Source organism: Homo sapiens, chromosome 9, assembly GCF_000001405.40.
Source record: "Homo sapiens chromosome 9, GRCh38.p14 Primary Assembly".
Taxonomy (NCBI): Eukaryota; Metazoa; Chordata; class Mammalia; order Primates; family Hominidae; genus Homo; species Homo sapiens.
In genome coordinates, this window is record NC_000009.12 from 76,429,558 (window position 1) to 76,444,968 (window position 15,411).

Below are 15,411 nucleotides of genomic sequence, written 5' to 3' on the forward strand. Positions count from 1 at the left end.
GATTTTCTAAGATAGTTTATTCATATGTGACAGCTGGAGTCTCTCTCATCATTTAGGAGGCTAGGTCCAGCTTGCTCACATACAAGCAGAAAGATTCTTGCCAGCAAGAAAGTACAAGCCCTAATGAATAGAAGGTTTTCAAGCCTCTGTTTTCTTTCTTTTTTTTTTTTTTTTTTTGAGACGGAGTCTCGCTGTCTCCTAGGCTGGAGTTCAGTGGCGCAATCTCGGCTCACTGCAAGCTCCGCCTCCCGGGTTCCTGCCATCCTCCTGCCTCAGCCTCCTGAGTAGCTGGGACTACACGCACCCGCCACCACGCCCGGCTAATTTTTTGTATTTTTATTAGAGATGGGGTTTCACCATGTTAGCCAGGATGGTCTCGATCTCCTGACCTTGTGATCTGCCCGCCTCGGCCTCCCAAAGTGCTGGGATTACAGGCGTGAGTCACCATGCCCAGCCTCAAGCCTCTATTTTCATCACATTTGCAAATGTCCCATTAGCCAAAGCAAGGCACATGACCAAGCTCAGATTCAAGGGGCAGAGAAATATACTCTAGCCTTTGGTGGCAAAAGAGACAAAATTATATAGTAAAGCGTTATGTATACAGGAATGGGAGAAATAGGTGGCTGTTTTTTTGCAACCTACTATATACTGGCAGTGGGTGAAAGTTCTATTTCCCTACATTCTTGACAACACTTGGTATTACATGACTTTTAAATTTTTTGCCAATCCGAGAAGGATTTAAAAAATCTCATTATTGTTTCTATTTTAATTTGCATTTTTCTGGTCATTAGTAAGGTTGTATATCTTTTCACATAATTATTGACAGAACACTCATTTTTTTTTTAACAGGGTTTCACTCTGTTGCCCAGGCTGGAGTGCAGTAGTGGGATCATGGCTCCCTGCATCCTTGACCTCGGGGGCTCAAGTGATCCTTCCACCTCAGCCTCCTCAGTAACTGGGACTAAGGGTGCTTGCCACCATGTTCGACTAATTTTTTTTTTTTATTTTGGTAGAAATGAGGTCTCACTATGTTGCCTAGGCTGGTCATGAACTCCTGAGCTCAAGCCATCCTCCTTCCTTGGTCTCCCAAAGTGCTGGGATTACAAGAATGAGCCACTGCACCTGGTTAGTCCTCTTTTTTTTTGAGACCAAGTCTCACTCAATGGCCCAGGCTGAAGTGCAGTGGTGCAATCTCAGCTCACTGCAACCTCCGCCTCCCAGGCTCAAGTGATTCTTGTGCCTCAGGCCCCTGAGTAGCTGGGAATACAGGTGTACACCAAACCACACCCAGCTAATTTTTGTAATTTTAGTACAGATAGGGTTTCACCATGTTGGCCAGGCTGGTCTCGAACTCCTGACCTCAAGCAATCCACCTACCTTGGCCTCCCAAAGTGCCGGGATTACGGGCATGAGCCACTGTACCTGGCCTCATCTCTTAAAGTAACATGCACACACATACACAGGAAAAAGAATGAAAGAATATATATTGGAGTAGTTCAATTTGGGTAGTGGAGTTACAGATGATTTTTATTTTCTCATATCTAAATTTTCTAAAATGAACATCTGTTACAGAGGGAGGAAAGTAAATGAATATGTTAAAACGTCCTGGCAAAATCCCCAACTGGGCTAACAATAACTAGGTGCACTGAAATTTAGTTCTGACACTAACCACATGGAGTTAGCATCAGACTCCACAAGGTAAGGCTCAATCCTCCACAAGACTGCCCTCACATCAGATGCCAGCCCTTAGCAGGGACCCCAGGTCATCCATACTCTGACCTACTCGCTACAGATTTGGGGGTCCCATGATCCACTCAGTTTCAGTAACTTGCTAGGACAACTCACAGAACTCAGGAAAGTGCTACACTTATGATTATAATTTTATTATAAAAGTTACGCATAGGGTGAGGTCTGGGAGAGAACACAGAGCTTTCTTGCTCTCTCCTCTTGAAATCAGGAAACATCACCCTCCTAGCACATCAATGTGTTCACCAACCCGGAAGTCCCACTGAGCCTCCATGACCAGAGTCTTTTATTGGGGTTTCATTATCTAGGCATGATTGATTTAATCACTGTCCACTTGATTGAACTCAATCTCCAGCCCCAGTCGCCTCTTTGGAAGTCGGGAGGTCAGGCTGATATCAAAGCGCCAACCCTCAAATTAAGCGGTTGGTCTTTCCAGTGACCAGTCCCCTAGCTGTAGCCATCCAAGAGCCTGCCATTAATACCTCATTAACACAACAAAGACTCCTATCCCTTAAGAAATTCCAGGCCAGCCACGTTGGCTCATGCCTGTAATTCCTGCACTTTGCGAGGCGAGGTGGATGGATCAATTGAGGTCAGGAGTTTGAGACCAGCCTGGCCAGCATGGTGAAACCCCATCTCTACTAAAAATGCAAAAATTAGCCGGGTGTGGTCATGGGCACCCATAATCCCAGCTTCTTGAGAGCCTGAGGCAGAAGAATCGCTTAAACCCGGGAGGCAGAGGTGGCAGCAAGCTGAGATTGCACCACTGCACTCCAGCCTGGGCAACAGAGCAAAATTCTGTCTCAAGAAAAGGAAAAAAAAGGAAAGAAATTCCAAGGGTTTTAGAAGCTCCTTGCCAAAAGCATGAGACAAAGACCAAATTTTTTATTGGGTGACCTAAATATATTACATTTAGTATATTACATAAAATACATTACATCTAGTCCAAAAAAAATGTAGGCAATCCAAATTAAAATTGTCTAGTGAAAATATGGGCAATTGAGTCTTAAAATGTCTAATATCTAGTTTAATATATTTGTTTGTTTTTTGTTTTTTCAAGACAGGGTTTCACTCTGTTGCCCAGGCTCAAATGCAGTGGTGTAATCATGGCTCACTGCAGTCTCAACCTTCTAGGCTCAAGCGGTCCCACCTCAGCCTCCAGAGTAGCAGGGACTACAGGCACGCAGCACCATGTCTGGCTTATTTTTGTATTTTTTATAGAGACAGGGTTTCGCCATGTTGCCCAGGCTGGTTGAGAACTCCTGAGCCTAGGTGATCCGCCTGCCTGGGCCTCCCAAAGTGCTGGGATTACAGGCGTGCTCCACTGTGCCCATCCTTAGTTTAATATTGTCTTTCACATACTGATAGCGGTAGGAGGCAGTCAAATGACTAGGCAGATGGGGTGGATCCCTGGTAAAACCCCACCTTCAAGCCAAAGGCAGTTTAAAGCCTGAAAGCCAAGCTAAAAGTCTTGCATAAACATAGGAACTGGATTGAGAATCTCTTTCTATTTGTCATGCTTTCCTTTGATTGATCCTCACCCTTCACCTATTTTATATATACCTTCTCTTTCCTAATTGTTTTTTTACAGTCGTGCTCACCTTTGAACGGTGCCTTTGTTTTAGGCTTTTTTGGATACTCACAAACCAATTAGCATGCACTCCTGCCTTCTGAGCCCACAAAAGCCCCATACCCAGCCACACTGAGAGAGAGACCACCCGACCAAGTGGGAGACCACCCTTGTGGCCCCTCTCTACTGAGAGCTGTTTCATTAGCTGTTTCATCACTCAATAAAACTCTTCTCTGCCCTCCTCACCCTTCAATAGTCAGCATAATCTCATTCTTCTTGGATGCGGACCAAGAACTTGGGACCCCTCCGAATGCAGGTACAAAGACGACAGTAACACTGTAGCCCTCTGCCCTGCCCCCTCTTCGGAGCTCAGCAGTTGCCCCACGTAACGGAAAGCAGCAGGGCCAGGTCATCCCCAAACCTGTGGGCTGGAGTGGGGCAATGGGACTGACAGAACTGTTAACGTGCCCCTGTTCATCAGGCTGTGGAGGAACTAAAACAGCTGTTAGCACACTGTAACACCCCCTCTGGGGCTTTGGGGTTGCAGGTTTTGCTGTTTGTGTGCCACGGCGTACCCCTCATCTGTATGCTGGAGTCCACCATGGGAGTCACTTGCCACATGCCTGGGCCAGCCACTAGCCCCACATGTAGACTGCTCCTGTGCTGGCCTTTGGAGAGGCCAGCCAGACCCTGGACTCACTTGCCCACACACCCCCTCCTGCCAGGGGCTGAGTGCTGCAGTCGCGGTGGCCACAGGATCCATGCTGGAGTGCAAGCCAGGCACAGTTTGGCAGGCTGAGTGGGCAGGGTGCCTCTTGCAGGGAGCCCTGGGCTGAGGGAAGCCTGGGCAGGGGTATCACCGGCTGGAGGTTTCCTGCTGGCAAGGTGGTTGAGAAAAATCCTGTGTCAGTACCAGATAGTAGGATGTGTGATGGATTTAAGACAATAGGGGATTCTGACCCTTCTACTTTCTAGTGGCTGTGACTTCAGCCCTCAGTTTGTTGTCCTTCAGTGAACCTCCTCATATCCCTCAATTGTTGCAAAGTGCCACTGAGCTGATGCCTGTGAAAGAGCTCTGTAAAATTCAAAGTTATATAAAAATAATACAGCAGTTCCTCCTTATTCTTCGGTTCACTTAATCTATAACCTAAGAAGTAGAAGTTACAACTACATGCTGCATGACTCAGATCAGAGTCACATCTCTCTCAAGGCTTATAGTGTTTGGGGGATTTCAACAGCTTTTACATTTTATTTTCACATTATGCATAGGAAAAAGCATAGCACTTACAGGGTTCAGTACTATTAAGGATTTCGAGTATCCACTGGGGGTCTTGGAACGTATCTCCTGTGGATAAGGGGGGACTAATGTAGTATGATTATCATCATCAACAGAAGCTATGACACCAGGATAAATAGGCTAGAGAGAGCTCTCTGAGCCATAGGTCATGTTCAGGACTCACTATTGTGGGAAGTCAGGGACCCCGAATGGAGTGACTGGCTGGAGCCATGGCAGAGGAACATAAATTGTGATTTCATGGACATTTATCACTCCCCTAATAATACTTTTATAATTTCTTATGCCTGTCTTTAATCTCTTAATCCTGTTATCTTTGTAAGCTGCGGATGTATGTCACCTCAGGACCCTGTGATGATTGTGTTAACTGTACAAATTGATTGTAAAACTTGTGTTTGAACAACATGAAATCTGATTGTAAAACATGTGTGTTTGAAAAATATGAAATCAGTGCACCTTGAAAACTAACAGAATAACACCGATTTTAGGGAACAAGGGAAGACAACCATAAGGTCTGACTGCCTGCGGGGTGGGGCAAAAAGAGCCATATTTTTCTTCTTGCAGAGAGCCTATAAATGGATGTGCAAGTAAGAGAGATATCGCTAAATTCTTTTCCTAGCAAGGAATATAATATTAAGACCCTAGGAAAAGAATTGCATTCCTGGGGAGAGGTCTATAAACAGCCACTCTGGAAGTGTGGTTGAGATAAGGACTGAAATACGCCCCGTCTCCTGCAGTACCCTCAGGCTTATTAGGGTGGGGAAGAAATCCCACCCTGGTAAATTTGAGGTCAGACCAGTTCTCTGCTCTCGAACCATGTTTTCTGTTGTTTAAGATGTTTATCAAGACAATACGTGCACAGCTGAACATAGACCGTCATCAGTAATTCTAATTTTGACCTTTGCCTTGTGATCTTTGCTTTTGTCCTTGCCCTGTTTCCTCAGAACCATGTGATCTTTGTTCTCCCTTTTTCCCTTTGAAGCATGTGATCTTTGTGAGCTACTCCCTGTTCATACAGCCCCTCCCCTTTTAAAATCCCTAATGAAAATTTGCTGGTTTTGCGGCTCGGGTGGGCATCATGGACCTACTGATATGTGATGTCACCCCTGGCGGCCCAGCTGTAAAATTCCTCTCTTTGTAGTCTTTCTCTTTATTTCTCAGACTGGCCAGCAATTATGGAAAATAGAAAGAGCCTACGTTGAAATTTTGGGACCAGTTCCCCCACTGGTCCCAAATTCAGCCTCAAGAAGACTGAATTAGTCAGCTCCCACTACCATAACAAGTTACCACAGACTCTGTGGCTAAAACAACAGAATTTATTTCTTCACAGTTCTGGAGGCTAGCAATCCAAGAATAAGGTGCCAGCAAGTTTGGTTTCTGGTGAGGCTTCTCTTTCTGGTTTGTTGATGGCCATCTTCTCACTGTGTCTGTCCTCTTGTGTGTACCCACAAAGAGAGAGAAAGAGTTCTTAGGTGTCTTTTACTCTTCTTACAAGGACACTGGTCCTATTGTATTAAGGTCCCAGCCTTATTACCTCATTTAATGTTAATTACATTCTTAAAGCCCTATCTCCAAATACAGTCACATCAGAGGTTGGGACTTCAACATATGAATTTGGGGAGGGACACAATTAGGTCCATAACAAAGACCATAATCTTGAGTGGAAAAGAGTCCTAAGATTAGGGTTTTCACACAGTGAAGGGTCTTAAATTTATTGGTACATTCAATCCTGGAGCACTTCCTTTAGTAAGAATGACAGAGTGCTAAGCAGTAGTTCCCATATCTTTTTTTTTTTTTTTTTTTTTTGAGACAGAATCTCGCTCTGTCACCCAGGCTGGAGTGCAGTGGCACGATCTCGGCTCACTACAACCTCTGCCTCCTGGGTTCAATTCTCCCTCCTCAGCCTCCCCAGTAGGTGGGATTACAGGCATGTGCCACCATGCCTGGCTAATTTTTGTGTTTTTAGTAGATATGGGGTTTCACCATGTTGCCCAGGATGGTCTTGAACTCCTGACCTCAGGTGATCCACCTACCTCGGCCTCCATCTTATAAGAAAACATCTGTGTAACAAATTAGGATAGGGTTGTCCAAAGGGTGTTTGAGGAACATACCTTCCACAAGTGGTGGGAATTTGGGGGAAATTACACCATTTCCCTGCTTAGAAAGTCACAATGCCTTGGGAGGCAGAGGCAGGCAGATCACTTGAGGTCAGGAGTTCAAGATCAGCCTGGCCAACATGGTGAAAGCCCATCTCTGCTAAAAATACAAAAATTAACTGGGCATGGTGGCATGTGCCTGCCTGTAATCCCAAGTACTCCAGAGGCTGAGGCAAAAGAATCACTTGACCCTGGGAGGTGAAGGTTACAGTGAGCTGAGATCGCACCACTGCACTCTGCACTCCAGCCTGTGCGACAGAGTAAGATTCCATCTCAAAAAAAAAAAAAAAAAAAAAAGGCACAATAGCATATTAAAAACTGAAAATTTCGTCCATTTACTCAAATAACATTTATTGATTTATTGAATGCCTACTATTTTCCAGTCACAAGCTGTGAGTAAGACAGGAATTAATAGGAGCAACCTAACCTAATATAGGAAGTAAAGGCAATGGATAGTTGAATGCTGACTCCCTCAAAATGGATGGATAGCACCAGGCTTAGTTCAGTGCTTGTTGAGGTAAGAGAGATTGTCAGACAGAAAACCAAACACTGCATGTTCTCACTCATAGGTGGGAATTGAACAATGAGAACACTTGGACACAGGGTGGGGAGCATCACACACCAGGGCCTGTCGTGGGGTGTGGGGAGGGGGAAGGGATAGCATTAGGAGATATACCTAATGTAAATGATAAGTTAACGGGTGCAGCACACCAACATGGCACATGTATACATATGTAGCAAACCTGCACATTGTGCACATGTACCCTAGAACTTAAAGTATAATAATAAAAAAAGAAAAGAAAAAAATAAATATATGGGGAAAAAAAGAGAGAGAGAGAGATTGTCAGAAACATGTGAACAAGAGCAACTCCATCTTGAATAGGAGCTGGGTAAAATAAGGCTGAAACTTACTGGGCTGCATTCCCAGACGGTTCAGCATTCTAAGTCACAGGATGAGCTGGGAGGTCGGTACTTAGATACAGGTCATGAAGATCTTGCTGATAAAACAGTGTGCAGTAAAGAAGCCGGCCAAACCCCACCAAAACCAAGATGGCAATGAGAGCGACCTCTGATTATCCTTACTGCTACGCTCCCACCAGCGCCATGACAGTTTACAAATGCCATGGCAACGTCAGGAAGTTACCTTATATGGTCTAAAAAGGGGAGGCATGAATAATCCACCCTTTGTTTAGCATATCATCAAGGAATAACCATAAAAATGGGCAACCAGCAACCCTTGGGGATGCTCTGTCTATAGAGTAGCCATTCTTTAGTCCCTTACTTTTCTACTATACTTGTTTTCACTTTACTCTATGGACTCGCCCTGAATTCTTTCTTTTGTGAGATCCAAGAACCATCTCTTGGGGTGTGGATCAGGACCCCTTTCTGGTAACAAGATCATTTTCATAACAAGAGTCTTACTGGCTTCTTGGAAGGGTGAGGGCAAAGCAGAATATTTATTAGGTTTGTGGAATCTGGAGTAAGGTGGCTATTTTGATATAGAGCTTGATTAGGATTGGACAAGTATGTGACACAATGGTTTAGCATTGGTGGACACAGCAAGGTGAGAGTTCCCAAGCATGTCTTAAAGAGTAAATGATCTTTTGATTGTATCTATTTTCCTTGGAAAGTGGTACTTACTTTAATGAGGATAAATTGAGTAGTCTAGTGTTTGGACTAATGGATTTTCAGAAAGTTCCTAGAACAAATAAAATTTTTGTCCATTTGAACCCAAAAGTATCTGAGACAGGTCTCAAGCAATTTAGAGACTTTATTTTGCCAAGGTTAAGGACATGCCTGTCACACAGCCTCAGGAGGTCCTGATGACATGTGCCCAAGGTGGTTGGGGTACATCTTGCTTTTATACATTTTAGGGAGACATAATGCATCAATCAATACATGTAATATTTACGTGGGTTTGATCTGGAAAGGTAGGACAACTCAAAGGGAGGTGTGGGGGGTGGCTTCCAGGTCATAGGTAGATTTAAAATTTTTCTGATTGGTAACTGATTGAAAGAGTTATCAGTAGAAAGGAGACACGAATGTCTGGGTTATAATAAGGTGTTGTGGAGACTAAGGCCTTATCAGGCAGTTGAAGCTTCTCAGTAGCAGACTTTGTAGAGAGTAGACTGTAAACTTTTCTTATCAGACTTAAGGTCTGTGTTGATGTTAATGCTGAAGGGGTATAATGAGGCATATGTGAGCCTCTCTTCCATCATGACTTGAATTAGTTTTTCAGGTTAACTCTGGAATGCCCCTGACTGAAAGGAGGGGTTCATTCAGATGATTAGGGGAGCTTAGAATTTAATTTTTTGTTTACAGCCATTTCATCCTTCTGAGTAAAAATTTCCTGAAATAAGAAAGTCAGGTAAATGTACCAGGGGTTTCCAATCTTTTGGCTTCCCTGGGCCACATTGGAAGAAGAATTGTCTTGGGCCACACATAAAATACACTAACATTAATGATAGCCAATGAGAAAAAAAAAAAAAAACTCATAATGTTTTAAGAAAGTTTATGAATTTGTGTTGGGCCTCATTGAAAGCCCTCCTGGGCTGCATGCAGACTATGGGCCTTGGGTTGGACAAGCTTGATAGATAGTAAGCCGTGTATGTGTGGGCAGTAAGTTTTGATTTCTCTAAAGAATCTTAACTTCCCTTACACATTTGACCACAACACTCTTTTCTTTTCTCGTCAGACTTATTAACATTTCAAAGAACAGACCATGATAAAACATGAAAGTAGGAAATAATTTCTATGAGAGTGTTGTAAGCCAGTGGTTCTGAAAGGGTGGTTCCCAGACCAGTAGCTTCAGTATCACCTGGGAACTTGTTAGAATTCCTCACCTACTAAATCAGAAACTCTGATGTGCAGTCAGCAATCTGTGTTTTCTTTTCTTTTTCTTTTTTTTTTTTTTTTTTTTTGAGACAGTCTCACTCTGTCTCCCAGGCTGGAGTGCAGTGGTGTGATCCCAGCTCACTGCAACCTCTGCCTCCCAGGTTCAAGTGATCCCTCCACCTCAGCCTCCCTTGTAGCTTGGATTACAGGTGCGTGGCACCACGCCAGGCTAATTTTGGTATTTCTAGTAGAGATGGGGCTTCGCCATGTTGGCCAGGCTGGTCTGAAACTCCTGACCTCAGGTGATCTGCCCAACTTGGCCTCCCAAAGTGCTAGGATTACAGGCGTGAGCCACCATGCCTGGCCCCATTTGTGTTTTTAAAAAGGAAAAGAAAAAATGAAAAAAAAATTTTGTCTGCATTTCCTTAGTAGAGATGGAGGTAAATCAGTTGTTGGTAAAAGCTGTGTGCGTCTTTCTTCAGATTGTGACTCATATTCTTATGGCTCTCTCCTCTTTGAATTCTTTGAAAACAGTGCTCTCCTTGCACTAATATGAATGCAATAGTGAGGAATATAAAATTTATTCAATATTTTAGAAGGAAGCTAGAAGAGAGAAGTTGTACCACATGATATCAAGATTGCACTTAAAAATAAACCAAGGCTGGGCGCATTGGCTCATGCCTGTAATCCTAGCACTTTGGGAGGCTGAGGTGGGCAGATCACCTGAGGTCAGGAGATCGAGACCATCCTGGCCAACACGGTGAAACCCTGTCTCTACTAAAAATACAAAAAATTAGCCGGGCTTGGTGGTGGGCACCTGTAATCCCAGTTACTTGGGAGGCTGAGGCAGGAGAATCGCTTGAACCCAGGAGGCGGAGGTTGCAGTGAGCCGAAATCCCACCATTGCACTCCAGCCTGGGCAAGAGCGAAATTCCGTCGCAAAAATAAAAAAAAAAAAAAAGAAAAAATGAATAAACTAACAAACCTTTTGAGGTATCTCATGTCCCAAATCTCTCTTCTTGGCTCAGCATCTCTTCCTGCTCCTGACCCACATCACCTTCTCTCTGAATTTTCTTCTAAGAGCAGTTCAGTTCAATACCCACATGACTTTCAAAAGTCTTAACCTCACCTACTAGTTAATATAATCTTCAAGGAATTTAAAGGAATTAAATTGAAGACTTTGTTTGCCTTGTGAACAAAAAATTCCCCAGTTGCCAGGTTTCACTAAAGCTGTGATGAATGAAGGTGACATCAATCTACATTTCCCTGATTTATATTTGCTCCACAGGTGAGGAGGAAACCTGGGTTACAGTGGTACCATGTTTCCAGTGTGTCCTCATCAGATTCCGGTCCTTTTCACTATGATGTTGCAACCTGTGTGTCCCCCTGCCCTGTGTGGGGCTGAGGTCCTGCACCCACCTGTCCTGTCTCCTTCCTGATGGTTGCTAGGACCAAAACCCAGAGGGGAGAATGAGCTGCACTCACAGGGGATGACTTGGGGACTGGGTCCAGAAAGTGGCTCATCCACAAGAGCTTGTTTAGAGCTACCTAAGAGGAGTCTTCCCTGGTCCCAGACTTGGTTGCACGTTAGAATCAGCTGGGGAGCTTTTAAAAATGCCTATGCCTGCCGGGTGCAGTGACTCATGCCTGTAATCCCAGCACTTTGGGAGGTTGAGGCGGGTGGATCACAAGGTCAGGAGATCAAGACCAGCCTGACCAACATGGTGAAACCCCATCTCTACTAAAAATACAAAAATTAGCTGGGCATGGTGGTGCATGCCTGTAATCCCAGCTACTGAGGAGGCTGAGGTAGGAAAAATTGCTTGAACCCGGGAGGCGGAGGTTGCAGTGAGCCAAGATCACACCACTGCACTCCAGCCTGGGCAACAAAGAGAGACTCCATCTCAAAAAAAAACAAAAAAACCTATGCCTAGGCCACATTCCATAGCAATCACATCAGAATCCTTGGTGCAGGACCTAGGCATCAGGATTTTTGTTGTTGTTTGAGACGAAGTCTTGCTCTGTCACCCAGGCTGGAGTGCAGTGGCGCGATCTCAGCTCACTGCAACATCCGCCTCCCGGCCTCAAGCAATTCTCCTGCCTCAGCCTCCAGAGTAGCTGAGACTACAGGTGCCCACCACCATGCCTGGCTAATTTTTTTATTTTTAGTAGAGACGGGGTTTTACCATGTTGGCCAGGCTGGTCTCAAACTCCTGACTTCAGGTGATCTGCCTGCCTCGGCCTCTCAAAGTGCTGGGATTACAGGCATGAGCCATCACCACTCTCAGCCAGCATCAGGATTTGTTAAGGTTCCATAAGTAATTCCAGTGGGTAGCAATGGTGAGAACCATCAGACTAGATGATGTACAAAAAGTCCACATTATGCTAAGACATTATAACAATTTTGTTCAAAACACTTCACATAATTAAATGGGCTATATTTTCATCATAGTATCTGTTTCGTATGTGGGAAATTTGAGACACGAAGAAAGTGTGAGTCATACCAGACAGACCATAGGTGAACTGTTAAGGAGGGAGAAGCCGCAGTGTCACCTTCCACAGTCCTGCTCCCATTAAGACCTATGAAGTGGAAAATGCAGATTATTCTTTGAGGTTTCCTGGGACCAGAAAAGGTCAGAGACTCTTAATGGGTAATGCAGACAACTGGAATGCAATCATCAGGTATTCATTTCTGTTTTAAGGTTTTATGTCTGAGAAACCTGAAACCTGAAGAAGTAAAGCAATCATGATTTTTTAAAAACTTAATAATATGGTTTTGGATTTAAAAAGAAAGACTGACTCAGAGCTGGGGAAAACACTCACTTGTGATACGGATCAATGTGAAAACAGCTTAACTCTGTTCCATGGCAATTCGCACAGTGTGACTCAGAGACACCTCTCTTCACCAGCTCTGGCTCAGGGGATGTGAAGCCAGAAGCAGAGGTCACAGTGACTTCATCTGAGAAGGACTTAACTGACCATTGCTGGTTTTGAAGCCGGAGGAAGGCCCACAGTCAATGAATGAGAGAGGCTTCGAGAAGCTAGAAATGGCAAGGAAATAGATTTTCCTCTAAAGCTCCCAGAAAGAAACACGGTTCTGCTGACACCTCGATTTTAGGCCAGTGAGACCTGCTTCAGACTTCTGACCTACAGAACGGTAAGAAAATAAATTTGTGTTGCTTATAGCCATGCTGTGTGTGGTAGTTTGTTACAGCAGCAATAAGAAACTAACACAGTTGTGACCAGGCGCCATGGCTCATGCCTGTAATCCAAGCACTTTGGGAGGCTGAGGTGGGCGGATCACTTGAGGTCAGGAGTTCGAGACCAGCCTGGCCAACATGGCAAAACCCTGTCTCTACTAAAAATACAAAAATTAGCTGGGCTTGGTGGTAGGCGCCTGTAATCCCAGCTACTTGGGAGGCTGAGGCAGGAGAACCACTTGAACCCGTGAGGCAGAGGTTGCAGTGAGCCAAGATCATGCCACCGCACTCCAGCCTGGGCGACAGAGTGAGACTCCATCTCAAAAAAGAAAGAAAGAAACTAACACAGTGGTTTTATCTGATTATCCGATTATCAGAAGTAGTAAGAGAAATGTGAAAATGGTTCTTAAGTTACAAAGTACCATATGAAGATAAAGTATTCATTCATTTATTCTCTTATTTATTCATCAAATATTATTGAGCTCCTCCTACTTTGAGCCAAGCACTTTTATAGATGTTGGGAATATACTAAAGCCAAAATGGATTTAAAACAAAACAAACACTGGCCAGGCTCAGTGGCTCATGCCTGTAATCCCAGGCTGTATGTGGGGCATGAGAGGAAGCAGGAGATGTCAGGTGAGATACAGCAGTAGCATGGCCCAAGGTGGTAGCAATGGAGATGGGTAAAAGGGATCCTAATCTGGATATATTTTGAAATAGAGGCCAGGTTCAATGGCTCACACCTGTAACCCCAGCAATTTGGGAGGCCAAGGCAGGCAGATCACTTGAGCTCAGGAGTTCGAGACCAGCCTGGCCAACATGGTGAAACCCCGTCTGTGAAGACCAGCTCGGTTGGGGAGACCCTAACCCAGTGGTGCTAGAGGAATTAAAGACACACACACAGAAATATAGAGGTGTGAAGTGGGATATCAGGGGTCTCACAGCCTTCAGAGCTGAGAGCCCTGAACAGAGATTTACCCACGTATTTATTAACAGCAAGCCAGTCATTAGCATTGTTTCTATAGATATTAAATTAACTAAAAGTATCCCTTATGGGAAACGAAGGGATGGGCCGAATTAAAGGAATAGGTTGGGCTAGTTAACTGCAGCAGGAGCATGTCCTTAAGGCACAGATTGCTCATGCTATTGTTTGTGGCTTAAGAATGCCTTTAAGCGGTTTTCCACCCTGGGTGGGCCAGGTGTTCCTTGCCCTCATTCCGGTAAACCCACAACCTTCCAGCATGGCTATTATGGCCATCATGAACATGTCACAGTGCTGCAGAGATTTTGTTTATGGCCAGTTTTGGGGCCAGTTTATGGCCAGATTTTGGGGGATTTGTTCCCAACATCCGTCTCTACTAAAGATACAAAAGCTAGCCAGGTGTGGTGGTGCATGCCTATAGTCCCAGCTACTTGGGAGGCTGAAGCAGGAGAATCGCTTGAACCTGGGAGGCGGAGGTTTCAGTGAGCCACTGCACTCCAGCCTGGGCAACAGAGTGAGACTCTGTCTAAAAAAAGGAAAGAAAGAAAGAAAGAAAGAAAGGAAGAAAGGAAGAAAGGAAGAAAGGAAGAAAGGAAGGAAGGAAGGAAGGAAGGAAGGAAGGAAGGAAGGAAGGAAGGAAGGAAGGAAGGAAGAAAAAAAGAGCCAGAAGCATTTGTTGAATTGGGTGTGTGCTTTGTGAGAAAGAGAGGCAAGACAGATGACTCCAGGAGTGTTTGGCCTGAGCAACTAGGTGGAGTTGTCAATGAGTAAGTCCGGGAGAAAAGTGGGAGAAGCAGGCTCCGGGAGAAGAAGATAAGGAGCTGCGTATTGGACATGTTTGTTTGAAATGCCAATTTTACCTGTAAAGGGAGATGTTTACTAAGCAGTTGGAAATATGAGTCTGGAGTTCTGAGGACAGGTCCAGACTAGAGATAGAAATCAGAGCGATGTCGAGGTTAAATCTAGATGTACTTAACAGCATGAGGTTGGATGAGGCCATACAGAAGGGCTGTAGAGAAAAAAGAAGAGATCTGAGGCCTGAGTCGTGAAGCTCTGCAGGGTTAAGAGGCCTGGGGGAAGAGGAGGAAACTGAAGGCTGACAAAGAGTGACGAGAACAAAACCATGAGGATTAAGAGTCCAGGTGAGGAAAAAGGGTTTCAAGGTCAAGGAGTGACGATTTGTCTGAAATGCTGCTGAGAGTACAGGTAAAACAAGTTTAGATAAATGTCTGCTGGATTTAGAACCACAGAGCTGAAATGGACAGGGGCAGTTTCCCTAGAGGCACGGGACTAAGCACCTGATTAGAGAGGGTTTAATATAATTTGGAGACACCAGATACAGGCAATTCTTTTGACACAAAACAATCAGGTTCTTCCAGAAACTCCCTTTTCTGTTTTCACAAGGAGGCTGATGCCCTCTTGGGCCCTCTGTGTTGTTCTGGAGACCTCAGCTCTTAGCCTGCTGAAGGCAAGGAACAGGCGACAACCACAGCACCTTCTTCCCTGACCACAGCAAGGGGGAATGAAGGTCAGTTTTCTATGAAGCAGGAGTCAGTAAACTGCAGCAAACTATGATCACACCTGTTCATTTACGTGCTGTCTGTGGCTGCTGTCACACTAGAGGGACA

The 15,411-nt window shown here is 44.7% G+C and overlaps 1 protein-coding gene across 5 annotated transcripts in view, besides 1 other annotated feature; it reads left to right on the forward strand.

Moving 5' to 3' along the window:
• The window catches only part of GCNT1 (glucosaminyl (N-acetyl) transferase 1), a 113,548-nt gene that overhangs the window by 35,689 nt on the left and 62,448 nt on the right, over positions 1–15,411 (forward strand). The window contains exon 3 of one of the 5 annotated variants that reach the window (NM_001407181.1): positions 12,304–12,758. The exons of 3 other annotated variants lie outside the window; for them this stretch is intronic. The gene's annotated coding sequence lies outside the window, so the exon portion shown is untranslated. Of the gene's footprint in view, positions 1–12,108; positions 12,759–15,411 lie in introns of those variants that run through there. One more of the 5 variants, NM_001097634.1, reaches the window with a different exon arrangement.
• Positions 9,284–9,373: an enhancer, noted in NCBI's record as "active region_28473". NCBI's record gives its function as "activates an Ori minimal core promoter by ATAC-STARR-seq in GM12878 lymphoblastoid cells {active_cell/tissue: GM12878}" and the evidence as "EXISTENCE:reporter gene assay evidence [ECO:0000049][PMID:35858748]".